We start from the raw sequence: 27,298 nt of genomic DNA, 5'->3' as shown, positions 1-27,298 counted from the left end.
CTAAATAATATCTAAGCTATATCAAATAAGAAAAAACTGGCATTAAGAAAAGAACAAAAGAAAAATTTTAAAAAAGAAAAGCACATAATGGACCAAGTAAGATCATGTTGGAAAGTAAAGATAATCACATTTCAGTGCATCTTTGGGTAATGGAATGTGGGGAGCAGCTACAGTATGGATTTTTAGCAAAAATGCCCTTTTAATTCTAATAAATATTTTCTTTTGAAAAACATCCTATTTACTCTGGTAACTTCAGGGAGTCCTGAACAACTGGGGAGATTTCCACTAATATACCAAAATTTAACATGTAGGAAAAGGAACTCTGATCTACCACCCCAACCCCAAACATAAAAAACACATACAACAAAAACAATAATAAAAAGAGAACAGGAGGTGAAATAAAACATAATTGAAGATAAGAAATTATAGAACAGTTGAATTAATAAACATGTTTTAATACTTTTAATCAATGTAAATAATACAAAATCATTAAATATATAAAAGGAAAAGCACAAACATAAAATTAAAAATAATAAACATAATAATATATAGAAAGTCAACCAAAATATCAGTATGTCTCTCTCAATTTCAAACATAGTTTTATAAACTAAAAAGTCTTAATAAAACAATATAAAGCATCAATATTGACTGAAGAAGTAGACAATCTCAGTAGATTAATCATTTAGTAGAAAAATGAAAATATTCTATAAAATCTGTTCCCTCTGCCTTCAAAATACCTAAAATGGGCAGATTTAGTGGTGCTTTCTTTTAAACATTGGCAAAACCAAATCATACCCTTGTTCTACAAGCTTTTCCAGAAAACATGACTTTGAGAATTCAGTAAGAGTTCAACATATGAAAATGTGACAAATAAAGTAAAAATCCTCAATAGATTGAATAAGAAATTTTGTAATATTATCTTAACAAATATTCATTGAATCATTGCATTGAATAAAAAGCTTCTCTAAACAGAGAAAAGAATATGAAAAACTGTAATACACACTCTAGCCTCTTAGACTTGGAGAAGAAGACATGTAAACATAAAATAATAATATTATAATTCAAAATAATAAATGATTAAGTGCCAGTATGATTTATATAAAACATACATGTAATAGGAGCTCAGAAACAGAGATGATTATACATGAAAAGGTGATTTGGGCTGCATCATTTGACACTTCTCCATAAGAGTCAAAACATTCATATTGCTTACCCTAATAATCCACTGGTGGGAAAAGGTGTTGCACTTTATGCCTACAAAGCATTGCTGTACATGCATACAGGAAGCCTTGTAGCATAATATAAACAATGCAAAAATAGAGCAGAATATTTTAAGAGCATGCGTCACTGACCCAGACAATATTGAAAATTAAGCAATAAGTGTGTCTTTGCTAATTCCAGCCCTGTTACCTGCTACTTTCTCAATACTGGTGTTTAGTGTCCAAGAAAATCCTCTCAGATATCCAATTCTCCATTGGTTGTTTACATGTTAGTCTATATTTAGTCACTATGCAAATATTCCCTGAGGTTTAGTTTTGCTTATGAAATAAGATATTTTGTCTTTTATTAAAGCAGCATTAACATCAGAAATTAGGTAGCAGATACGTTTTGGGGAATATTTAGAGGAGGTAAAAGAATAGACATTTCTCTCCTTATACACATGATAAATGGCCTCTTCCTCTCCTGCCTGGGAAAGAAAACACAGGGCTTAGTAGTCACAGTTTAGACTCTTAGGCCAGATGGCCTAGGTTCAAATTCTAACTCCACCATTAATTAGCTGCATGACCTTGGATATTCTTAACATCTTAATATCTGAGTTCCCTCATCTGAAAAATGTGGCAAATAATAGTATTGGCAATATAGTTTACATCTCAGTCCTGTGAAGGTTCAATGAAGTAAAATGCCTAGAACTGTTCTTGGCAGAAACTAATCCCTTACAAAGAAGTAATAGTAATCCCAGTGATATCACTAGTAATGCTAGTTCACACATATTGTTCACACATGCAGCGTGATTAACAGTAGTAATCCCCCACCCCCAATACACTCTTCAAAACATTCATTGACATCCTACATGTGGTTCTAATATGATGTGATCAAATTTTAATGTGGGCTTTAGTGCTTTCTTGCTGCCCACACAATAGCATTCTAATTGCTCTACCATAATTGTTGCTCTTAAAATGCTCTTTGAGAAGCATGTTGACATGCCTCCATAGTTACCTGAGCATTTAATTAATACACACTGATGGGGTGGTTCTATCCTGAGTAACAGCTTCACTGCATCACGTGTTGCCAGGAAACACCAAGATAACCTCATCCTGTCTCACTAGATGAGCAGCCCTGGGTGCTGGAGAAGCACTATTCTTTTACAGAACTATGTTTCTTCACATGCTGTGATCTGGCCTCAGAATAAAAAGCTCTCAAGCCTGCCTCTTCTAATTTGATGTTACCACATGGTAGAGAAGATGGATCACAAAGGCAGCATAAAATGTTTGAATTGAGGGCAGCCAGCTGTTTACTGCTACTTATCAGCTTCCGGAAAAGAGACTATGGAGCTGCCCTCTCTTTTTCCTCACATACATAAAACTTGATGAGATATTAACATTTAAATTACAGCACTCTTTATTTTTATTCTGTTCTAGAAGCTCTGAAATGCATTTGACTGTTTCAAACCGCCTTCTGGGGAAGCTTAATAATACCTCCAGCATTCTTTTTGTGGTCTTTATTAACCTGGGTACCTGCTGTCACTCCCCAAGTCCACAGAAGAGAATTTGATGATTGCTGAAGCCCTAGGCTCTTGTTTGCCTAAATATCCCTAACATGTCTAATCTTCCAGGTACTTCAGTCTGACAACTTGGACCAAATGAAAGGTAAAATATTAGCTGCCCTCCTCTTATGAATTCCATGGACACTTAGGCCCTCACCTAAGCCTCTTGTTTTCTTCCTGTTGATGAGTCTGGAACGTGAGCACGAGATGCACTTTTAATTAGCAAGAGGATGAAGCTACCCTGTCACTGGGCCTGTTAACAGTGATCGGAGAATACTGTTTTCTACCAAGAAAACCCTCCTACTCATGCACGCCACCATTATGCCCGCCTTCTGCCCTGCAGGTTGCCCTGTCCTCTCTAGCTCTTCTCTTAAAATCCAGATCAAATTTTGCCTCTTTTCTGCAGCTTTTTCTAACACTTCTTTACCTCTACTCTACCTTCTGAATTCTCAAAGAATGAATTACTCCCTTTTTTCTTCTCAAAGAATTATATGTATAACTAACAGATTTATTAGCTTGGATCTATTTCTGCCTTATCTTTTAGTCTGTGAAGACATATGTACAGTTGTCCCTCAGTATCCACAAAATATTCATTCCAGGACACCCTGTGGATACCAAAATTTGCAGATGCCGAAGTGCCTTCTACAAAATGGCATAGTATTTGCATATAACCTATGAACAACTTCCTGTATACTTTAAATCATATCTAGATTACTTATCATAGCTAATTATTGTAAATGCTATGTAAATGGCTGTTATACTATATTCTTTTATTAGTGTTATTTTTTATTCTTTTTAAAAATATTTTTGACTCATGCTTGGTCAAATCTGCAAATGTGGAATCTACAGATGTGGAGGCAGAATTAAAGTGAACTAAACTAATAAAGTGAAATGAAAATTAAAGTGAACTAAAATAAATGGAGTTTTAAAATACTGAAAATGTCCTTCTAGTTTTCACCACCTGAGAAAAAAGCTCACCTGAATAAATCACCAAAGCACTATTTAGTTACATTACAATAATAACAGTGTTTGACCAAGATTCAAGTCTGCTGTAGGTATGGAGTAAGTGCTTCTTAAGTAATTACTTTATCCTTAAAACCACTGTGATAGTTTCAAATGATCCTTCACAGGCAAAATTAGAGGGCATCAGCAAAGTGGTTGACTAGAAGCTTCTAGTACCTTTTCCTCCCACAAAAAAAACAAAATAACAAATAAAAACTTACATTTTGATCAACATAACTAAAGGAGAGCTCCAAAGAACAGCAAAAAGTAGCAAAAATCTACTGGAGCCTAGCCCCAGGCTGGCCACATAGGAAAGGGAAGAAAACACTTTGTCTCTGCCACCCCACCTGCCCAGCTGGGATCAGCTTGGAAGCAGGAGGGATTCTTTCCTACATAAAAAGGTAAGCAAGAGAATCCCAACAGCTCCCATCACCACTGTGAACACCTTTAGTTTTTGCTAGCAAATATTCCCGCAGTCCTCACAGGCTCTAAGCCCAGCTAAGGAAGCTCCCCAGAATCCACACATTGAGATACCCCAGAGAAGAAGCCAATGTACTGCTCTGTCCCTCCAAGGCCTCTGCCACTACTGTGATGTGCCGTCTTGGAACTAGAACATCCTGCTTCAGGAGTAGCCATTGCCCATGTCCATCCCTGAGGCTTTGCTGCCATTGTGACATGCCCACTCTGTAGCTTGCCATCCCCTAGCAGAGCCATTGCTATTTCCTGCCCCACTAGGGCCAAGCTATAACAGAGCTGCTCCATCCCCCCCATTCTAGTTGCTGATGTAGCCCTCTCCTTAGAGATGAGCTGAAGTTGTGTCCTGCCCCTAGGATCCTCAGGCCACCCGTACACCAGAGTAGTTGTGCACCTCATACTACAGTCAAGACAGTGCCCTCCTTCTTGGGGTTCCCAGGCTTCCAGCATACCAGAGTAGTAAAACCTCTTCTCCCAGCACCATGGATGAGGCAGCATCTTGTCCTCTGGCGGCTTCAAGCCCCTGGCACACTAGAGTAGCTGTACCCCTTAGTGCCACAGCTGATGAGGTGTACCATATTCCAAGGGTCTGGAGGATATGCTGACCCATGTAGCCACACTCTGCGGGGCTGATCAGACATAGTGCCTTGCATCCCAGGGAATCAGAGTCTTGGTTGTGCTGTGCCACCAGATCCTCCAGGCTGAATAGCCACAGTATCCTGCTTATTTACAATTGGGCTAGCCCCTTGCAGTCTGAGCTGCTGAGATGCCTTACTTCCGTGGAGAAGGTAGTTATTGGTGTGCTGCTTCCCTCCCACCAGGGATCAAGCCACAGTAGTGCCTTGACATTCCTGGGTCCTTGCTGCTACTGCACCTGGCCTCATAGACCCTGGGCCACTGCCATATCCTACCACCCCAAGATCCATAGTTACCATTGTGCAATATGTCATCACCTGGAGCACTGGCTGCTATGCCCTGGTTTGGGTTCTAAATAGCAGCTGAGAACCTCCTCCTCAAAGCCTGAGCATCCAGAACATCATACCTTGTTCCTCAGAGCTGGGTCAAGGCTTTGCCCTGCCTTCCAGGGTCAGAACCACACCTACATCTTAGACCCCTGGGGTCTAACTGCTTGGGTTTGCTCAGTGCAATAGACCACAGCTTAGTGGGAGAATTACATCCATTTCTGTCTTGGAAAGTGAACCTGTACCTTAAGTCCTAGGTGCTACAATAGTTTCACAAGACCCTGAGCCCAGGAACCCAACTCTATAGCTGCTCAGAGCACCTATGACCTGAATCCTTTTGCCAATGCAGCTGTTTGTGGGTTGTGTCAGACATGACAACAAGAAAAATTCCCTCAGTTAAGATACTTTGCTATAGGGAAGGCAAGAACAGGAGGATCCCTAAATCCCTTGCTTTGATAACCTACACAGCCAATACCACTGCCACAAATTCCTGCAGCCTAGACAACTGAGACACTCATAATTCATTGACATTGATTATAACTGAAGAAGCTACATTGAGACTATACCATTGTGCCCACACAGAACCAGAGCCACTGTACCCTGACCAATTGGCACCTTCAGGCCCACAGGCCCATCTGCAGGTGGAAGTCTTCCTCTATGAAAGCCACTTTATAAAATTTGGAAGAAGTGCCAACACTGTGAGATACCCATGCAAAACACAAAAAACATGAAAAAGTAAGGAAACATGACATCATTGAAGGTACACGATAGCTCTTCAGTAACTGACCACAAAGAAATGGAAATTTATAAATTGCCCTCCCACCCCAACAATTTAATGTAATTCTTAAGGGAATTCAGTGAGATACAAGAAAATACAGACAGATAATTTGATGAAACCAGGAAAATAATTTGCTATCTGAATGAGTTATTCAATGAAGAGATAGAAACCATAAAAGAGAACCAAACAGAAATCTTGGAGATGAAGAATTCAATCAATGAAATGAAAAATATCGTAGAGAGCTTTGACAGCAGACTACATCAGACTAGATCATAGAAATAATCTGTGAACTCAAAGATAGGTCTTTTGACATGACTCAACAAGAAAAAAGATGAAAAAGAGTGAAGATGGCTTATGAGAAGTGTGGGCGGCTTTAAGATAACATTTTCATTATTAAAATTTAACAAGAAGAAAAGACAGAGGAAGGAACAAAAAGCTTATTTAATAAAATAATTGCTGTAAACTTCCTAAGTTTTTGGAGAGATATGGACATCCAGATCCATTAATCTCAAAGGTTCCCCAAAAGATATGACTCATAGAGGTACTCTCCAAAGAACATTATAATTAAACTTGAAAAGCCAAAGACAAAGAGATAACTTTAAAAGCAGCAAGTCACATATGAAGGAATCCACATTAGACTGTCAGCAGATTGCTCAGTAGAAACCTTGCAGGCTAGAAGAGAATAAGATGATATGTTCAAAGTGCCAAACAAACAAACAAAAAAACCCGTCAGTCAAGAATACTATATCAGCAAAGTTTTCCGTCTAAAATGGATAATAAAGTCTTCCCCAGACAAACAAAAGCTAAAGGAATTTAATGCCAATAGACCTGCCCTACAAGAAATACTTAAGGGAGTTATTCAGGTAGAAATGAAAGGATGGTAATTACTCTCATGAACACATATGAAAGTGTAAAACTCACTAGCAGAGTTAAATCCATAGTCAAATCCAGAGTACTCCAATACTATAATGGTTGTGTATAAATCATACGTATCTCTAGCATGAAGGTTGAAAGTTAAAATGGTCATACATAATTAAAGCTACAATAAGTTGTGAAGGAATGCACAATGTAAAATAATGTAAATTGTGACGTCAAAAACATAAATTGTGAAGGAAGTGTAAAATGTTTACAGTTTTGCATATAATAGAGGTTAATAATCAACTTAAAATTGTTGATTGTAACTATAGGATGTTTTATATAAGTCTTATGGCAACCACAAAACAAAAAACTACAGCCAATATACAAACGATAAAAAGAAAGGAATCAAAACTTGGCACTACAGAAAATTTTCAAATCACAAAGGTAGACAAAAGAGGAAGAAAGAAATAAAGGAGATACAAAATAACTAGAAAAGAAATAATAAAATGGCAGTAGTAAGTCCTTACCTATCAATAATAAACTTGAATGTAATTAGATTAAATTATCCAATCAAGATAGTGGCTGAATGCATAAAGAAAAAGATTCAATCATATTCTGCCTACAAGAGACTCACTTAAGCTTTTAGGACACAACTAGGCTGAAAGTGAAGGTTGTAGAAAGATGAAAATGGTAATCAAAAGAAACCATGAAAATGGTAATCAAAAGAGAGTGGGATGATTATACAGATGATCCTTGACTTACAATGGGGTTACATTTCAATAAACTTATTTTAAGTTGAAAATGTCATAAGTCAAAAATGCATTTTGTACACATATCCTACAGAACATCATAGTTTAGCCTAGCCACATCTTAAATGTGCTCAGAACACTTACATAAACCTAGACACGGATAAGCATTTTGTAGACATGATGGGATGTGAAAACACAAAGCACAATGCCAAAAATACTAACCTGGTAACACAGTATATTGTAGAGTATCAGTGTACTGCTACTCATGATTATGTGCCTGACTGGGGGCTGAAGTTCATTGCCAGTGCCCAGAATTGCCAGAGAATATCATGCACCATATTGGTATCCCATAACATCATGCTATATACCTTAAATAAACACAATAAAAAAGTAATAACAGCTATTATTTATTGATTATTACTTGTGCTAGGCACAAGTAGGGTGCTTGTCGCCATCCTATGTAAATTAAGTATTATTTGCCTATTGTAAAATGGGGAAAGTAAGTCTCAGGAAAGTTAAATAACATACATGAAATTATGAGGTTGATAAATTGTATTAATTAAGGTTTTCCAGAGAAATGAAACCAATAGGATACATTTATATGTCTATATCCATCTCTATATTGAGAGAAATAATGAGACAGAGACACACTCAGATTGCTTTAAGAAATTGGCTTCTGTGATTATGGGGGCTGGCAAGTCTAAAATCCATAGGCAGATTGACAGCCTGGAAATTTAGTAAAGAGTTGATGTTGAGGCCTTGAGTCTAATTCTTCAGGGTTGTAGGCTGGAAACTCAGGCAAAGTTTCTATGTTCAATCTTGAGGAGATTTTTTTTTTTTCTGGGAAATTTCAGTCTTTGCTTTTAAGGCCTTCAACTGATTGGATAGGATCCATCCACATTATAAAGAGTAATCTGCTTTACTCCAGGTCTACTGACTTAAATGCAAATCACATCTAAAAATATTTTCCCCAGCAACATCTAGACTAGTGTTTGACTAAACAACAGGGTATCCTAGCCCAGCAAAATTGACTCATAAATTTAATGATCACGCAATTGGTAATTCTAAATCCAGTCAGAAGTCTACATTCTGTGTCCACAGTGTCATGTCTAGATGTTGGTCCAGTCTCCCATGGACTGTGCCTTGTTATTTGTTTTCTCTTTGCTAAGCCACATCCCCTGAGGGCTCTGTTTATGCTCATTGCAAAATCTTTGACTTTTTAACTTACTGGGCATATTGTCTTCCTACTTTTGTTCTCTTCTGTTATTTTATTTACTTGACTCTGACATGTCTCATTCCCAATGCATTGGCCAGTCATCTTCAAATCCACACTGTAGGTCACAGAGAAAAGCAGTAGATAACAGAATATAAGTGGAGAGCTCAGAGATCTAAGAACTAAAATGTAAGCTGGAGTAAAATTCACTTGTGTTACTTTCAGTAGTGTTGTGTTTATGTTCCCAAGGAGAATGCTGTTAAGATGAAGATGCTGATCATGTTACTTAGTATTACAGAGGTAAGCTATTTTGTGGCAGTGAATAAGCCTTAAGTGCTTTTGGAATGTGCAGAACAGATGTCAAAAAATCAAGTGAGGTCATAATTGAAAGTCCCTCAAAAATTGTAAAAATGATTTAAAAATGTTGGTTATTTCAACACCTAATATGGCTCTTCATTGAATTTTTCTCCTTTCTTCTACTAGATGGGAACATTATCTATCCCCATCTACAAAGGAGTTATTTTGAGGAAGGAACTCTTTCTTACTTGTTTAGTGTAATGACTAAAAGCTCAGATTTTGAGGGCCTGAACTTGAAACCCAATTTGGTCTTTGGGCAAAGCAGGCATCCTCTCTTTGCCTAGGTCTCTTTGTTCTTATTTTTTAAATGGACATAAAATAATAAGTGCCTGGCATGCTTTAGTACTACTATTATTATAGTTATCCCATTCACTAGGACTTGCTCTGTTAATATTAACATCTTAGTCCACATTTTAGATTGATCCTATTAACATGGTTTAAACTGCTTTGATCTTTATAACAAAGCATCCACAGTAACAAAGACCCTATCAAAATCAACCTTTGGGAGCATGAAAACCTGAGAAATGTGAGCCTTTAAAGGCTACTTAGAGACTGGAAACCAAAGTAATTAATTCTTAAAATTATTGAGAAAGAGTAAGAAAATATAGACTCAATAGTGCAGGAATGGTTCTTTCCAATATTGCCTAATGATAGAGCAAACCTATCTGAGTTCTCTGGCTTCTCTCTGCATTTAAGATAATGGGTTTTGAAATTCAAATGCAAATGTAACAGCTAAATCTGCTCAGGTAAAGTACTTTTTGATACATTGCTGGATGTATTATCCTTCAGGCTAATAAATAATTAGCACTATTTTTATAATATTTTTGAAGTGGTGATTTGTACATTTTTATTAAGAGAAATAATTCACATACCATAAAATTCACCCATTTACAGTGTGCAATTAAATGGATTTTAGTATTTTTAACAGACTCATGTAACTATCACCCCTAATTTCATCACCCCAAAAAGAAACTCCATACCTATTAGCAGTCATTCTCCATTCTCCTCCATTGCACCCCAATCCTATGCAATCACTAACCTAATTTCTGTCTCTAAGGATTTGTCTATTCTAGTAGACATTTTATATAAATGAAATCATACAATATAGGGTCTTTTTGACTGAATTATTTATCTTAATATATATTGTTTTCAAGGTTAATCCATGTTGTGCTTCATTCTTTGTTATAAATGAATAACAATCTACTATATGGATATAACACCTTTTGTTTGTTCCTCAGACGGAAATTAGAGTTGTTTCTACTGTTTGGCTATTATAAACAACGCTGCTATGGTAATTTGTGTACAATTTTTTGTGTGTGTGCGTGGATATGTTTTAATTTCTCCTGGATACCTACGAGTAGAATTTATATGCATTTTAAACCTGTGTTAAGATAATTATTGAATTATTTTTGTAAATGAGTAAACACAAAGAGATTTCTGCTGCATGGAAAATTACAGCAGAAAGAGAAATGTCTTACATTTACATAAGTTACAAGATGTTTTCAAATAGTTACGTCAAATATTCTCGGAAATTGCTCTGAATGAGGAAGCAAAGGTCCACTTTTTCCCATCTCACAGATAAGAAAATGGACCACTCTGAGAAACCTGGCTTAAATCTTGCATCAGGCAAATGAGAGAGGAAAGGAGAAAAACCCTTATTTCCACATTCTTTCCAAAATTACCTGGTTCTTTAGTAGGGGATTATTATGTTTTTATACCTATAGAAATTTTAAAAAGTTAGTAATAAAGATATCTTTATAAAATCTGGCTAGTTATGTAGCAAATTCATTTTTCTTTTTTTATGGATAAATGAAGAAATTAAGATACTTTATTTAATCTATAGGTCTGTTATTCCTTTACTTTCACTATGATATGTATATGTGTGTATATATATGTATATCTATGTCTGTATATATGTACACATACCCATTGGAAAAAATATATGTGTATATTCCTACATATCTGGTCCTTTGACCTTTCCCTTTTTTCCTAATCTTTCTATACAGTGATACTTGGACTGCTAAGTAATTTTGAATAAAATTACAAAATAGAATGCCATTGTATCACTTTCAGGTTTTCCACCTCAATTGGGCTCTCAGAATGATTCAGCAAATAGTTTTTTCTGTTTTTGGTTGATCTCTACTTTGAGGATATTGTGAGTTATCAGAAGCAATGGGCACATCACATGTGATATCTCCATCTGGATATCAAACCTTTTAGTGCAAGTGGTGCTTCATGTGCCTTTCCCCTCTAATGTCTACTAGAGTGACTTGCACATTGAAGGTACCCAGTAGATATTTGCTGATTAAGATTATTATGTCTCACTAATATCCAGCTCATGATTTAAAGTAACTATGACCAAACTCTTAGGAAGCAGACCTTTGTTTACACTTTTTCAGGCAATAATATAACATAGACAATATTTGATTATATGTGTCAGGAAGTTGATAGAATCACCAAAATATTTGTATATTTTACTGTTATACAAACCTTGATCATGGCTGAACATTTTATAGCAATTAATTTTGATACTAACCAGTAAAAAGAATCTTACTACCTTAATTTTCAAATTTGGAGGAGTTAGCTACATTCACACCTAAACTATCACTGGATCTGATCCTGGTGTTTTCCCCAATGAAGTCCAAAAGGATCTGATGGTTCATGGCCCAATTTAGTTTACACTTTTATTATTGGTTTTTATTAGTGGGTACTAGGTAAACAAATAAGTACCTAACTTTGACCTTTAATTTTACTTTGATAATGGTGAACATGTGCTTTTTAAAATTTTTTTGAGACAGGGTCTCACTCACATCACTCAGGCTGCAGTGCAGTGGTGTGATCATGGCTCACTGCAGCCTCGACCTCTCAGGCTCAAGCGATCCTCCCACCTCAGTCTCCCCAGTAGCTGTGACTATAGGTGCATACCACCATGCTCAGCTAATTTTCAAAATTTTTTTATAGAGATGGGATTTCACCATGCTGCCCAAGCTAGTTTCAAATTCTTGAGCTAAAGCAATTCTGTCCACCTTGGCCTTCCAAAGTGCTGGGATTACAGGCATGAGCCCAACATATAAGTTTTTGAAAATGTGTCCAATACAAGATAAATGTGCTAAGAGCTAAAAGTGAGAAGGGCAGGTGTAATCATTGCTCTGGCTTTTCTCTCTCTTCAGAGTTAGAGTCATTCATACCCTTTATATTTGTTCTGGAAAATTAGTTAAATATAAGATGAGACAAATGTGAGAATGGGTAGAAAGAAAGGAGGAAACAAGTCTGACCTACTGTTTTATTTCACACTACCTTGTTTTACTCACGGCCAAACATGTTATCCTTAAGATAGTGACTAAATCTTAACTAAATTATAACAGATACATTTCAATCACCAGTCCCAATCCACCTATATGCAGCTTTAGTTATTCATTTATATATATCTTTAAGGGATTAATTTTACATGTCAAGTTCTATTGTACGCAGAAGCAATAATGTTGAGGGCCCCTCTAGGATGGCTTCAACAGAAATAATAAATATATACGGAGTAATAAACATGTTGCTCTTGAACCAGACACATATTTTGATGAGTTACAATTAGCAATTATCTTGGCAAGTGTCATTTACAGACAGAATTTTTACAGTAGAATGTATTCTGTTGAAAACACAAGCTTTCTTCAAAGTCACTCAGTATAGCTATCATGTGCAACTGATAATGAGTAAGTTAACTGGTCCATTGTTAGCTTTCTAATAAGCCTTTAGATTTAAAAACCCATAAATACAAGGTACTGATTCCACAGTCCTACAAATAAAAATAAAGCCATTTTCTTATGACATCACATAATTAAATGGTTGGATATTGTAATTCCCAGGCATCTTCATGTTCTATGGCAGTAAGAACTGGAAAATTCAAAGCAACCATGCATCCATTGTAACAAACAGAAAAACAAAAGAGACGCATTTTAATAATGATATATCAAAATGAATTATCATTTTTATAGTGAGAAATAGCCAATAATGTATGACTGTATTACAAGAGTATTTTAACAGTAGTCAGCTTAATTCACTGCATGGAAGACATAAGCAGTTTCACTTTCCTACTACTTACTTAAAATTATTATTTGCCTGGAAAGCACTGATTTACTATCACCAACTTACTTGTATTTCAAAGGTCCCCAACTCGGCAAGCTTGTGGCCTTATCTTGACAGCCCTGCTATGTTCATATGTTCTTTTAGTTGACACAAAAGAGTTCAACCTGAAAGCATACAACCAGAGTTTATTCCTCACAAAATCAGATTTCTGCTAGTGCAGCACTGCACATTTCATCAGCTATTTGGAGTAGCATGGTCTTTGGGGTATCTTCTCCTACATGCTGGCAGGAAAAGAATCTTGAGACATAGCTCAGTGCTGCTGACATGTCACACTGTTTATGTGACCAGGGAAGCTTCTGTTTCTGATAGAGGTAACAGGGGTTTGCTAGTCAATAATTGGATAAGAATATAGAGGCTTCTTTGCACAGAGGAAAGAAACTAACATGTTTCTACCTGTTGCCTGTGCCTCATTAGCTCTGTACATGCAAAAGGAGCATCAATTCATTAGCTCAGCTGGGTTGAAATTTCTGATGATGACTAGGCATAAACAAGTAAGAAAATAAAAGGAAACAGGATATCCAAGGGCATGGGATGGGAGGAGAAGGAAGCCCATGTTTTCCAAAAGGGAAGAAAGAAAGGTGGTATGCTTGATGGTATTTTCAAGACCAGCTGACCTTGGCATTTGTTCTGCTTGGCTGCCATAACAAAATACCATAGATTGGTGGCCTCAACAATATATATTTACTTCTCAAAGTTCTGGGGCTGGAAGTCCAAGATCAAGGTTCCAGCAGCTTCAGTTCCTGGTGAGGGTTCTCCTCCTGGCTTGCAGAAGCCACTCTTGCTATATCTTCATATGATCTTTCCTCAGCATGTGATCTCTTAAAAGGAGATTTCTTTTCCTTCTTCTTCTAATAAAGCCACTAATTTTATCATGAGAGCTTCACCCCGCATGACCTAATCTAACCCAAATTTTCTCTCAAAGGTCCTATCTTCAAATATCATCATACCAGAAATTAGAGCTTTAACATATGCAATATGGAGAGGACATGATTCAGTTCATAACAGCATTTAAGGCCTGAAGTCTTTTCTTGGTGAAGTGATTATGTAGGGTGCTGGATGCAGAAAGGAGATTCAGGATCAGAGCTGGGCATGGAGGAGGGTCAGGGCTGCCTGTTATCTACAGAGCCTGGAGCCAAGAGAGATGCAAAAGGCAACTAGGGACCAAGGGCAAAATCAAGAGCCAACCCCCAAATCCAAAGAAAGAATACTCCAAAGGGGTTAGTCTCAGAAGAAGGAAAATTGAAGTCACCAAAGCTGAGCAAGTAGGTGTAGAAGAGATGTTTAAGAGGCAGAGCCTCATAGGAGTTCCTGAAGAGCTGCAGTATGACTCCATGTGTGCCTCTGGCAGTAGTGGGAGGGAGAGGTTAAGAAGAACAAAGAACACATAAATATATAAAGAGAAAATTGATTAGTGGCTTCCAAAGAGATCCTGGCTTCTGTAAAGACCTTAGAGAGTTCAATCATTTGCATGTGCATAAAATATCTAGGAAGACACCTAGAAATTAGGAAGATTGGTTGTCTCTGAAGAGGGGGAGTAAGTGACAGTGGCTTTGGGCTGGAGGGGGAGGGAGACTTTTCACTGTGCTCTCTTTTGTATTTTTTAAAATTCTGAGCTACTGGACTATAACAAAGGAAAAAGTAGTATCACTTAAAATTATATGTTATTACTACTACTATTATTATTATTATTATTTGAGCCCAGGCTGGAGTGCGGTGGAATGATCTTGGCTCGCTGTAACCTCCGCCTCCCAAGTTCAAGTGATTCTCCCACCTGAGCCTCTCTAGTAGCTGGAACTACAGGCATGCACCACCACACCCAGCTAATTTTTTATATTTTTAGTAGAGACTGGGTTTCACCATATTGGCCAGGCTGGTCTCGAACACCTGACCTCAAGTGATCTGCCTGCCTTAGCCTCCCAAAGTGCTGGGATTATAGCCACTGTGCCTGGCCATCACTTAAAAACTTTAGGAGATATACCTAATGCTAAATGACGAGTTAATGGGTGCAGCACACCAGCATGGCACATGTATACACATGTAACTAACCTGCACATTGTGCACATGTACCCTAAAACTTAAAGTATAATAATAATAAAATAAAAAAATTTTTAAAAGGAAATAAATAAAGTAAAATTTAAAACTCAAAAAGAACTAGAGAGAGAGAGAGTGAGAGAGCACATTAAGAAGTAAGAAATGTAAAATTTTCTTCATGAGTGCTTCTAAGGCTAGCAACTATGGGCCCACTCTGCTATTTTCATCATGGAACTCCTGCTACTGAATTAGGAAAGGAAGTTGTAAAATTATATCAATGTCCCTGTTCCACTTTAAGTAAAAGCATCTTTATTTTTACCATGACCATGCCTCAAAAATTGGGCTCATATTCATATGAGAATTTTATATAAACAGCCTTCTTGTCAACTGAGTAGAATACTTGTTACTCACAATAAATCACTACCATTATTATCATAAAATACCTCTAATTTCTAACTGACACATCTTTACTAAATCCTTAAGCCACACCAAATTCTGAAAGCCACTATGTACATGGCCTAACCCAGACAGCACATAACACAGGTACACACGACATAATATTAGGATAATAACCAGTATAAGCCAAAGAGTGAACATATACTAAGTAGATAAGTTAAGTAGAGAAGATTCATAAATGGCAAATACTGAAGGCATCATAAAAATTCACCTCTCATCAGTTACTAGGAAAAGGTTCCTTGGGGAAGATAACTCGCTGTTGAGCAATTACAGAGAAGAGAGGAAATGCCAGGCATGTAACAGCTGAGAAGAACATTCAGAGATGAGTGAGAGAATTGGGTAAAGGCAGACTAAATAAATGTTCCAGGGAAAATGAATGTCCAGAGGCTGAAGAGTAGGAAGACAGTCAGCCTCACAGAGACTTGGGAGAAGAGGCTGGAGGATGGGCAGGACATAATAGCACATCATGTTCAAAATGCTAAACTGTACAGTTCCCATGGCAAATGGCAAGACCAAAAAACACATTGGCAGCAGCCTGAGAATGGATGAGGAGCCAGGGGAAGACAGTGCTTCAATTGAAAAAAAGGGGTTAGTAGTGCCAACGCTGCACAGGATGCAAGAAAAATAAGGACCTAGAAGAAGTCCTTTTTTATTTAGCTACAACATGATGATTGGAGACCTGAAGAGCAGAGTCAGGACAGGGTGTGGCAGAAGCAGTCTTCTGCGATTTTCAAGATGAATGTGGGTTGCAGATGTGGGGATACTGAGTGCAGACAAATCTTGGAAGCAAGACTGGAAAAGAAATGAGGAATAAAAATGGCTGAAAAAGTCAGAGAATAATTTGTTTTATTATTCAATAATAAATAATTTGTATTATTTATTTCAGATAATAATACATTCAAATAATAATAATCATAATTTCAGTATCTTCCACAGAAAAGGGAGAGAAGGCTAAGTTTTAGCTCCTTCTGTGGCCCCTACCTCAGGAGTAATGCCTTAAGTCAGGAGGTGGTTTTATATTTATGCATGTGTAGCATCTCTAGTAGCATAGCAGCGACACTGGGGAGCTCTGCAGAGGGATTAGCAGGTGGCAGAGGGTTAGGAATGGCCTCCAAGGCACCAGCAGGGGCAGCTGAGTGCGAGACCCAGGCAGGTGCTGAAGGACATTTCTATCTAATGCCTCATAGCAGTGGTGTTTAGAATCAACCATGCAGAGCCTGTGTTTCTTATCTATAAAATGATGGCAATAATACCAATTTTTTCACAGGTTTTTTCAATGAAGATTAAATGACATAGTGATTGCAATATGCTTAGCACAGTGTGTGGAAAATTGCTAGCTTTAGACAAGAGTCTTGACTCTTTCCATCCTCAACACCTTGGACCAAGCAAGTGTACGATCACCATGATGCAAAGTGTTCAGCATTTGCACAAAGTCTAGTGTGGTTCCATAGGTAAATGCACTAAGGTGATTATGACAGTTATTTGACCTAAGGACTATGAGTGACAGTGAATGTAAATTCCAATGCTGTCAGTGTGAATCAATACATATCAGGAGCAATGATCCATTTACTTCTGGGTAATGAGAGAAAGTTATGATGTTGTGAATATATTATGGCTTCTTGGATTTTTTATTGCTTTTCCCATGCACTAATACAATAACAAGAAGCATGAATCATTTGCTTCTAGACTGCAAGAAGCTGCAAACTAGGTGTTGATTATTTTGTGTCAGAAAATCATTTCTGAAAGAAAAACAACCAGGATGGGACTATGGGATTTACTGACAAGTGCTTTATATTTGCTGCTATTCATATTAGGTGATTTGTCTCTGGAATCATTGGGTTCCTGTTTGGGAATAACACTTGTTATATTAGAAAGGCAGTGTGCAAAGTTAGTCAAATGTGAGCACTGAAAACAAATTTTACAAAGAATTGTGCATTATTTCAACCAACATTTTCTTGTGCCTACTATGTACCAAACTTTGTACTAGGTTTTGGAGTACAACATTCATATCACACATTCCCTGTGAAGATATTTATGTTACCGTGGCAGACAAAGCAATAAGGTAAATAGTAAATTTAATGACAGATGACAGTTTGGATATTAGGAGAGCTCAGAGGAGTGAATCTTTACATAGTCTTGAAGAGTCATGGTGTATGGTATCCCTTGCATTTTTTTCAGTTTTATTAAGATACAATTGACAACTAAAATTATATATATTTACAGTGTACAAGGTGGTATTTTTTGTTTGTTTTTAAAGTTTTTCAAAAAACTTTTATTTTAGGTTTGGGGGTACATGTGAAGGTATGTTACACAGGTAAACACGTGTCATGGGTTTTTTTGTACATATTATTTCTTCACCCAGGTATTAAGCCCGGTGCCCAATAAACGTCTTTTCTGCTCCTCTCCCTCCTCCCGCCCTACCACCTCAAGTAGACCCTAGTGTCTGTTGTTTCTTTCTTTGTGTTCATAAGTTCTTATCATTTAGCTCCAATTTATAGGTGAGAACATATGGTATTTGGTTTTCTGTTCCGGCATTAGTTTGCTAAGAATGATACATTCTAGCTCCATCTGTGTTCCGGCAAAAGATATGATCTTATTCTTTTTATGGCTGCATAGTATTTCGTGGTGTATATGTACCACATTTTCTTCATCCAGTCAGTCATCGATGGGCATTTAGGTAGATTCCATGTTTTTGCTATTGTAAATAGTGCTGCAATGAACATTGGCATGCAGGCCTTTATGGTAGAATGATTTATATTCCTCTGGGTATATACCCAGTAATGGGATTGCTAGGTCGAATGGTAGTGCTTTCCACAATGGTTGAACTAACTTACACTTCCATCAACAGTGTATAAGTGTTCCTTTTGCTCCACCACTCCACCAGCATCTGTTGTTTTTGGACTTTCTAGTAATAGCCATTCAGACTGGCATAAGATGGTATCTCACTGGCTTTTTGATTTGGATTTTTCTAATGGCCAGTGATATTGAGCTTATTATATGCTTGCTGGCCACATGTATGTCTTCTTTTGAGAAGTGGCTGTTCATGTTCTTTGCCCACTTTCTAATGGGGTTGTTTTTCTCTTGTGAATTTAAGTTCCTTATAGATGCTGGATATTAGACCTATGTCAGATGGGTAGTTTGCAAATATTTTCTCCCATTCTGTAGACTGTCTGTTTACTTTGTTGATAGTGTCTTTTGCTGTGCAGAAACTCTTAAGTTTAATTAGATCCCACTTGTTAATTTTTGCTTTTGTTGCAATTGCTTTTTGCATCTTTGTCATGAAATCTTTGCCTGTTCCTATGTCCAGGATAATGTTGCCCAGGTTGTCTTTCAGGGTTTTTATAGTTTTGGGTTTTACACTTAAGTCTTTAATCCATGTTGAGTTGATTTTTGTATACGGTGTAAGGAAGGGGTCCAGCTTCAATCTTCTGTGTATGGCTAGCCAGTTCTCCCAGCACCATTCATTAAACAGAGAGTCTGTTCTCATTGCTTGTATTGTTGTCAGCTTTGTTGAAGATCAGATACTTGTAGATGTGCAGCCTTATTCCTGGGCTCTCCATTCTGTTTCATTGGTCTATGTGCCTGTTTATATACTAGCACCATGCTGTGTTGGTTACTGTAGCCTTGTAGTAAAGCTGTAAGTCAGGTAACATGATGCCTTCAGCTTTGTTCTTTTTGCTTAGGATTGCCTTGGCTATTCAGGCTCTTTTTTGGCTCCATACAAATTTTAAAATATTTTTTGATAGTTCTGTGAAAAATGTCCTTGGTAGTTTGATAGGCATCACATTGAATCTGTAAATTGCTTTGGACAGTATAGCTATTTTAATGATATTATTTCTTCCTATCCATGACTATGGGATGTTTTTCCATTTGTTTGTGTCTTCTCTGATTTCTTTAAGTAATGTTTTGTAGTTATCATTGTAAAGATCTTTCACCTCCCTGGTTAGCTGTATTCCTAGGTATGGCTGTTATTGGTGTATATAAATGCTAGTGATTTTTGTATGTTGATTTTGTATCCTCAACTTTGCTGAAGTTTGCTGAAGTTGTTTATCAGCTGGAGGAGCTTTGGGGCTAAGACAATGGGTTTTTCTAGATGTAGAATCATGTTATCTGCAAATAGAGATAGTTTTACTTCCTCTCTTCCTAAATGGATGCCCTTTATTTCTTTTTCTTACCTGATTGCTCTGGCTAGGACTTCCAATACTATGTTGAATAGAAGTGGTGAGAGAGCATCCTTGTCTGTGCCAGTGTTTATTCTTTCTTTCTTTCTTTCTTTTTATAATTAAAGTAGCTTTCTTTTATTTTTCTATTCAACTTTTCTCTTAAGTTCAGGGGTACATGTGTAGGATGTGCAGGTTTGTTACAATGGTAAGTGTGTGCCATGGTGGTTTCCTGCACAGATCATCCCATCACCTACATATTAAGCCTAGCCAGCATTCATTAGCTATTCTTCCTGATGCTCTCCCTTCTCCCACTGCCCCCCAACTGACAGGCCCCATTGTGTGTTGTTCCTCCTCACATGTCCATGTGTTCTCATCATTCAGCTCCCATTTATAAGTGAGGACACATGGTGTTTGGTTTTCTGTTTCTGCATTACTTTGCTGAGCATAATGGCTTCCAACTCCATTCACGTACCTGCAAAATACATTATCTCATTCATTTTTATGGCAGCATAGTATTCCATGGTATATCTTTACCACGTTTTCTTTATCCATTCTGTTATTGATGGACATTTAGGCTAATTCTATGTCTTTGCTATTGTGAGTAGTGCAGCAATGATCATATGTGTGCATGTGTCTTTATAACAGGATGATTTATTTTTCTTTGGGTTATAGCCAGCAATGGTATTGCTTTGTGAAATGGTATTTCTGCCTCTAGGTCTTTGAGGAATTGCCACACCATCTTCCACAATGTTCGAACTAATTTATGATTCCACCAAAAGTGTACAGGTGTTCCTTTTTCTCTGCAACCTCACCAGGATATGCTGTGTTTTGACTTTTTAATAAAAAATCATTCTGGCTGGCATGAGATGGTATCTCATTGTGGTTTTGATTTGCAGTTCTTGAATCATCAGGGATATTGAGCTTTTTTTCATGTTTGCTGGCCACACGTATGTCTTCTTTTGAGAAGTGTTCGTTCATGTCCTTTGCCCACTTTTTAATAGGGCTGTTTGTTTTTTTCTTGTAAATATATTTAAGTTCCTTGTAGACTCTGGATATTAGATCTTTGTCAGATGGAGAGGTTGAAAAAACTTTATTCCACTTCGTAGGTTATCTCTTTTGCTCTGATGATAGCTTCTTTTGCTGTGTAGAAGCACTTTAGTTTAATTAGATCACATTTGTCAAGTTTTGTTATAGCTGCAATTGCTTTTGGCATTTTCATCATAAAACCTTTGCCTGTGCCTATGTCCTGAATGGTATTGCCTAGATATTCCTCTAGCATTTTTATAGTTTTGGGTTTTACATTTAAGTCTTTAATCCATCTTGGGGTAACTTTTGTATGTAGTATAAGGAATGAGTCCAGTTTCAATTTTCTGCATATGGCTAGCCAGCACTCTCAGCACCATTTATTAAATAGGGAGGTCCTTTTCCCATTGCTTGTTTTGTCAAGTTTGACAAAGATCAGATGGTTGTAGGTGTGTGGTCTTATTTCTGAGTTCTCTGTTATGTTCTATTGGCATATGTGTCAGTTTTTGTACCAGCACCATGCTGTTTTGGTTACTGTAGCCTTGTAGTATAGTTTGAAGTTGGGTAGCGTGAAGCCTCCAGCTTTGTTCTTTTTGCTTAGGATTGTCTTGGCTATTCAGGCTTTTTGGCTCCATAAGAAATTTTAAATACCTTTTGTAATTTTGTAAAGAATGCCAATGGTAATTTAATGAGAATAGCATTGAAATCATAAAATACTTTGGGCAGTATGGCCATTTTCAACAATATTGATTCTTCTTATCCATGAGAATGGAAGTTTCTTCATTTGTTTGTGTCCTCTCTGATTTGTTTGAGCAGTCACTGTAGTTCTCCTTGAAGAAGTCCTTCACTTCCCTTGTTAGCTGTATTCCTAGGTATTTTATGCTTTTTGTGGCAATTGTGAATGGGAGATCATTTATGATTGGGCTCTCAGCTTGCCTGTTGTTGCTGTATAGGAATGCTAGTAATTTTTGCACATTGATTTTGTATCCTGACACTTTGCTGAAGTTACTTACCAGCTTAATAAGCTTTTGGGCTGAGACAACAGGGTTTTCTAGATATAGAATCAAAGATAGTTTGACTTCCTCTCTTCCTGTTTGAATACACTTTATTTCCTTCTCTTGCCTGATTGCTGTGTCCAGAACTTCCAACACTATGTTAAATAGGAGTGGTGAGAGAGGGCATCCTTGTCTTAGACTGATTTTCAAGGGGAATGCTTGCAGCTTTTGACCATTCAATATGATATAGGCTTTGGGTTTGTAATATATGATGCTTATTATTTTGAGTTATGTTCTTTCAATACCTAGTTATTGAGAGTTTTTAACATGAAGGGATATTGGATTTTATTGAGGGCCTCTTCTGAGTCTACTGAGATAATCAAGTGGTTATGTATTTAGTACTGTTTATGTGATGAATTACATTTATTGATTTGCATATGTCGAACCAAACTTGCATCCCAGGGTTGAAGCTAATTTGATTGTGGTGGATAAGATTTTTGATGTGCTGATGGGTTTGGTTTGCCAGTATTTTACTGAGGATTTTTGCACTGATATTCATCAATGATACTGGCCTGAAGTTTTCTTGTTTTGTTGTGTCTCTGCTAGGTTTTGGTATCAAAATGATGATGGCCTCATAGAATGAGTTAGGGAGGAGTCTCTCTTTTTCTATTGTTTAGAATAGTTTCAGAAGAAATGGTATGAGCTCCTCTTTGTACCTCTGATAGAATTCGGCTGTGAATCCATCTGGTCCTGGGCTTTTTTTGGTTGGTAGGCTATTAATTACTGCTTCAATTTCAGAACTCGTTATTGGTCTATTCAGGGATTCAACTTCTTTCTTGTTTAGTCTTGGGTGGGTTTATGTGTCCAGGAATCTATCAATTTCTTCTAGGTTTTCTAGTTTGTGTGTGTAGAGGTGTTTGTAATAGTTTTTAATGGTTGTTTTTATTTCTGTGGGTTCAGTAGTTACAGTCCCTTTGTCATTTCTAATTGTGTTTATTTGAATCATCTCTCTTTTCCTCTTTATTAGTCTAGCTAGTGGCCTGTGCATTTTATTAATTTTTTCAAAATACAAACTCCTGGATTTGTTGATTATTTGCATGGTTTTTTGAGTCTTAATTTTCTTCAGTTAAGCTCTGATTATTGTTATTTCTCATCTTCTACTAGCTTTGGAGTTAATTTGTTCTTGCTTCTCTAATTCTTTCAGTTGTGAAGTTGGGTTGCTAATTTGAGATCTCTCTAACTTTTCTTATGTGGGCATTTAGTGCTATAAATTTCCTGCTTAACATTTCCTTAGCTGTGTCCCAGGGTTTCTGGTGTGTTTTATCTTTGTTCTTACTATTTTCAAAGAACTTCTTGATTTCTGCCTTAATTTCATTATTTACCTAAAAGTCATTCAGGAACATACTGTTTAATTTCCATGTAATTCCATGGTTTTGAGCTGTTTTCATTGTCTTGAATTCTGTTTTTATTGCACTGTGGTCCTAAGGTGTATTTGGTATGATTTTCATTCTTTCACATTTGTGGAGGATTGTTTTATGTCCAATGATATGGTCAACTTTAGAATGAATACATGACATGCAGTGAAAAGAAGAATGTATATTCTTTTGTTTTTGGGTAAAGAGTTTTGTAAAGGTCTCTCAGATCCATTTGGCTCAATGTTGAGTTTAGGTCCTGAATACCTTTGTTAATTTTCTGCCTTGATGGTGTGTCTGATATTCTCAGTGGAGTGTTGAAGTCCCCCACTATTTTTGTGTGGTAGTCTACGACTCTTTGTAGGTCTCTAAGAACTTGATTTCTAAATTTAGGTTCTCCTATACTGGGTGCGTATATATTTAGGATAGTTAGGTCTTCTTGTTGAATTGAATGCTTTACTATTATTTAACGCCCTTCTTTTTCTTTTTTGATCTTCGTTCATTTAAAACCTGTTTTGTCTAAAATTAGGATTGCAACCCCTACTTTTTTCTGTTTTCTATTTGCTTGATAGATTTTTCTCCATCCTTTTATTTTGAGCCTATGAGTGTCATTATGTGTGAGATGAGTCTCTTGAAGACAGCATACCATTGAGTCTTGCTTTTTTATCCAGCTTGCCACTCTGTCTTTTAAGTGAGGCATTTATCTTGTTTACATTAATGGTTTTATTGATATGGGTGGATTTGATCTTGTCATTGTGCTGTTAGCTGGCTATTCTGTTGGTTTGTGTAGTTGCTTTACCATGACACTAGTCTGCACATTTAAGTGTGTTTTTGTGTTAGCTGTTTCCAATCTTTCCTTTTTTTATTTAGTGCTCTTTTCAAGATCTCCTGTAAGGCAGGTCTAGTGATAATGAATTTCCTCAACATTTGCTTATATAAAAAGATTCTATTTCTCCGTCACTTAGGAAGTTTAGTTTGCCTGGATATGAAATTCTTAGTTGAAGATTTCTTTCTTTAAGAATGTTGAATATAGGCCTCAAATTTCTTCTGGCTTGTAAGATTTCAGCTGAGAAGTGCTCTATTAGCCTAATGAGTTTTCATTTGTAGGTGACCTGAGCTTTCTATCTAGCTGCCTTTAACATTCTTTCCTTCACCTTGACCTTGGAAAACTTGACAATTATGTGACTTGAGGATGATCTTCTTGTGGAGAATCTTGCAGGAATTCTCTGTACTTCCTGAATTTGACTGTTGGCCTCTCTAGCAAGGTTGGGGAAGTTTTCATGGGAGATATCCTGAAATATGTTTTCCAAGTTGTTTACTTTCTCCCTCCCCCTTTCAGGGATGCCAATGATGTATAGATTTGGCCTCTTTACATAATCCCATACTTTTCAGAGATTTTGTTCATTCCTTTTTATTCTTTTTATTTTCATTTTGTCTGACCATCTTATTTCAGAGGGCCAGTCTTCAAGTTCTGAGATTCTTTCCTCAGCTTGGTTTATTTTGCTGTTATTTAATAATACTTGTGATTGCATTGTGAAATTCCTGTATTTTGTTATTCAGCTCTGTCAGACCCACTAGGTTCTTTTTTATATTGGTTATTTTATCCCTCAGCTCCTGTATCACTTTATTGTTATTCTTATTTTCCTTGGATTGGGTATTGCCATCCTCCTAAATCTCAATGATCTTTGTTCCTATCCATATTCTGAATTCTATTTCTGTCATTCCAGCCAGTTCAGCCTTATTAAGAACTCTTGTTGGAGAACTGGTGTGGTCATTTGGAGGACATATAATACTCTGGCCATTTGAGTTGCCAGATTTCTTGCACTGTTTTTTTCTAATTTCTGAGTATGGGTGTTTCTTTAACTGCAGTATAGATTGAGTATAGTCAATAGACTTCTTTTCTGGATGTTTTCACTGGGCTGAGTCTTTTTCGCAGGGTCTTTATTTGATGCTGCCTTCTTGTCTCTGGTTTCAGAAGGGGGTATGTTAGTGAGGCATTTTTGGTGTTGAAGCTTTGGGGTGTGATCCAGCAGGTGGCAAGCTTATTGGTCAGTATGTAGACTCTTGCTCGGTGTGTGGCTCCCCTATATTTCCTCACAGTTGCAGCTATGTTCCCTCCTTGTGCTCTGAAAGTGTGGGCTCCTCTCCCCCATGAGTGCTGGTTGTAGACTGTGACGTGGCACTCCTAGGCTGCTCCCAGCAACTCTGGGGTGATTTTAGTCTTTATGTTTGTTCCCCAACTTGAAGGCAGCAGAGGAAAAGAACTCAGTAGTGGCTGTTTTTGAGGGTCATTTGCTTATCTTCTGGAGGCTTCACCCCAGAGAGATGCAGGTCAGTCAGCAATCACTCAGTGTAATCAGCCCACAATGGAGGGTTTGTGCTGTGGGCCTAAGCCAGGGGTTCCCTTTCTTGTGACAAGCAGTTTTAGGGGGGATGTGGGAGGGATGTTGGAGGTATGGATAAGGCACTTAGTGTCTTTGCTCTTTCATTAGTCCGAGGGTGGCAAAGGCAGTTCCACTGCAGAGGCAGTGGCAAAGAGGCTTTCAGTTGACCTGGAGGCTCTGTCCAGGGAGTTGCCAAGTTGCTACTGGTGCAATAGCTCTGATGTTGTGTGGCTGGAGGCCCAGGTCTGAAGGACCTGCCTGCGAGGAGATATGGGCATTGGCACCCATGTAGCAGTCTGGATTCTTTTCCACAGGGCTGCTGTGGTATGCTTGGGGCCCATGCCAGTTCCTACTCACCTTGGATTTTCCAGTACATGTAGGTATCACCAGTGAAGGCTATGAAACAGCAAAAATAGCAGCCTGTCCCTCCCTCTGGTAGGCCTGTTCTAGAGAGGCATGAGCCTGTTGCTGACCCAAAGACACCTGTAGGAGACATCAGTTGGGAGGTTCCCACCCAGTAAGGCAGAATGGGATTGGGGCCCCACTTAAAAAAGCACTCTGGCCACATTTTGGTAGAGTGACTGTGCTGTGCTGGGGATCCATTTCAGCCCCCAGTCACCTCAGACACTCTGAAGCCCAAAGGCTGGAATGGCGAAATCACCCAAACAGCAAAGATGGCGGCTCACCCCTCCCTCTGGGATCTCCATCCCAGGGAGGTTATAATTCTCTGTTGGCCAGAAAACACTGACAGTGGTGGCTGAGGGCCCTGGATGGGAGCTCCCACCCAGTGAGGAGGGGTGGAATCAGAAACCCACTTAAAGGAGCAGTCTGGCCACGTTTTGGTAGGGCAGCTGTGCTGTGATGGGAGATCCCTTCCATCCCTGGTTAGCTCAGACTCTCCAAAGTCTGAAGGCTAGATTGGCTAAGTTGGCCCAATAGCAAAGATGATAGTCCACCCCTCCCTCTGAGGGTGCTGTCCCAGGGAGAATCCAAATCTGTTGGCTGGAGAACATGAGAGGTGGGTAGCTACAGTACCTGGTTGAGATGTCCTTCTCAGTAAGGAGGAGGAATGGGATTTGGCACCCAATTAAAGCAGTAGTCTGGCCACGTTTTGGTGCAGCAGCTGTTTTATGCTGAAGAATCCCTTCCACCCCTGGTCAGCTCAGACTCTCAAAGACTAAAGGCTGGAATGGCTGAGGTGCCCAAAGAGCAAACATGTTGGCCTGTCCCTCCCATAGGGAGCTCCGTCTTAGGGAGGTGCAATGCTGCTACTGGTGGCTGGCTGGAATTCCAAGCTAGTGGGTCTTATCTTGTGAGGTGCTGCAGAAGTGGGGCCTGCAGGCTGGAAAGCCTGAGTATCTAAGGCTCCAGGGTCTCCACGCATTCCTGAGCAGCTGATCTGCTGAGACTTCACACAGCTCTGTCTGTCAGACTGAAGGCCCTGGTAAAGCAGGTTCACAAGGAGATCTCCTAACCTCAGGATTGCAAAGATCTGTGGGAGAAGCACGGTTTCCTGGGGTTGCACATTCACTCACCACTT

General features: G+C 38.0%; 1 long non-coding RNA gene across 1 annotated transcript in view; it reads right to left on the bottom strand.

Annotated features, from left to right (window-relative positions):
• Nucleotides 1–434: 434 nt before the first annotated feature.
• Nucleotides 435–27,298, bottom strand: part of LOC124902137 (uncharacterized) — a 137,318-nt gene continuing 110,454 nt past the window's right edge. The window contains exon 2 of the long non-coding RNA XR_007061444.1: nt 435–13,398. This is a non-coding gene — a long non-coding RNA (uncharacterized LOC124902137). The remainder of the gene's footprint in view (nt 13,399–27,298) is intronic.

Source organism: Homo sapiens, chromosome 9, assembly GCF_000001405.40.
Source record: "Homo sapiens chromosome 9, GRCh38.p14 Primary Assembly".
Taxonomy (NCBI): Eukaryota; Metazoa; Chordata; class Mammalia; order Primates; family Hominidae; genus Homo; species Homo sapiens.
The sequence above is the reverse complement of the archived record's forward strand: the minus strand, read 5'-3'. Positions and strand labels throughout refer to the sequence as shown.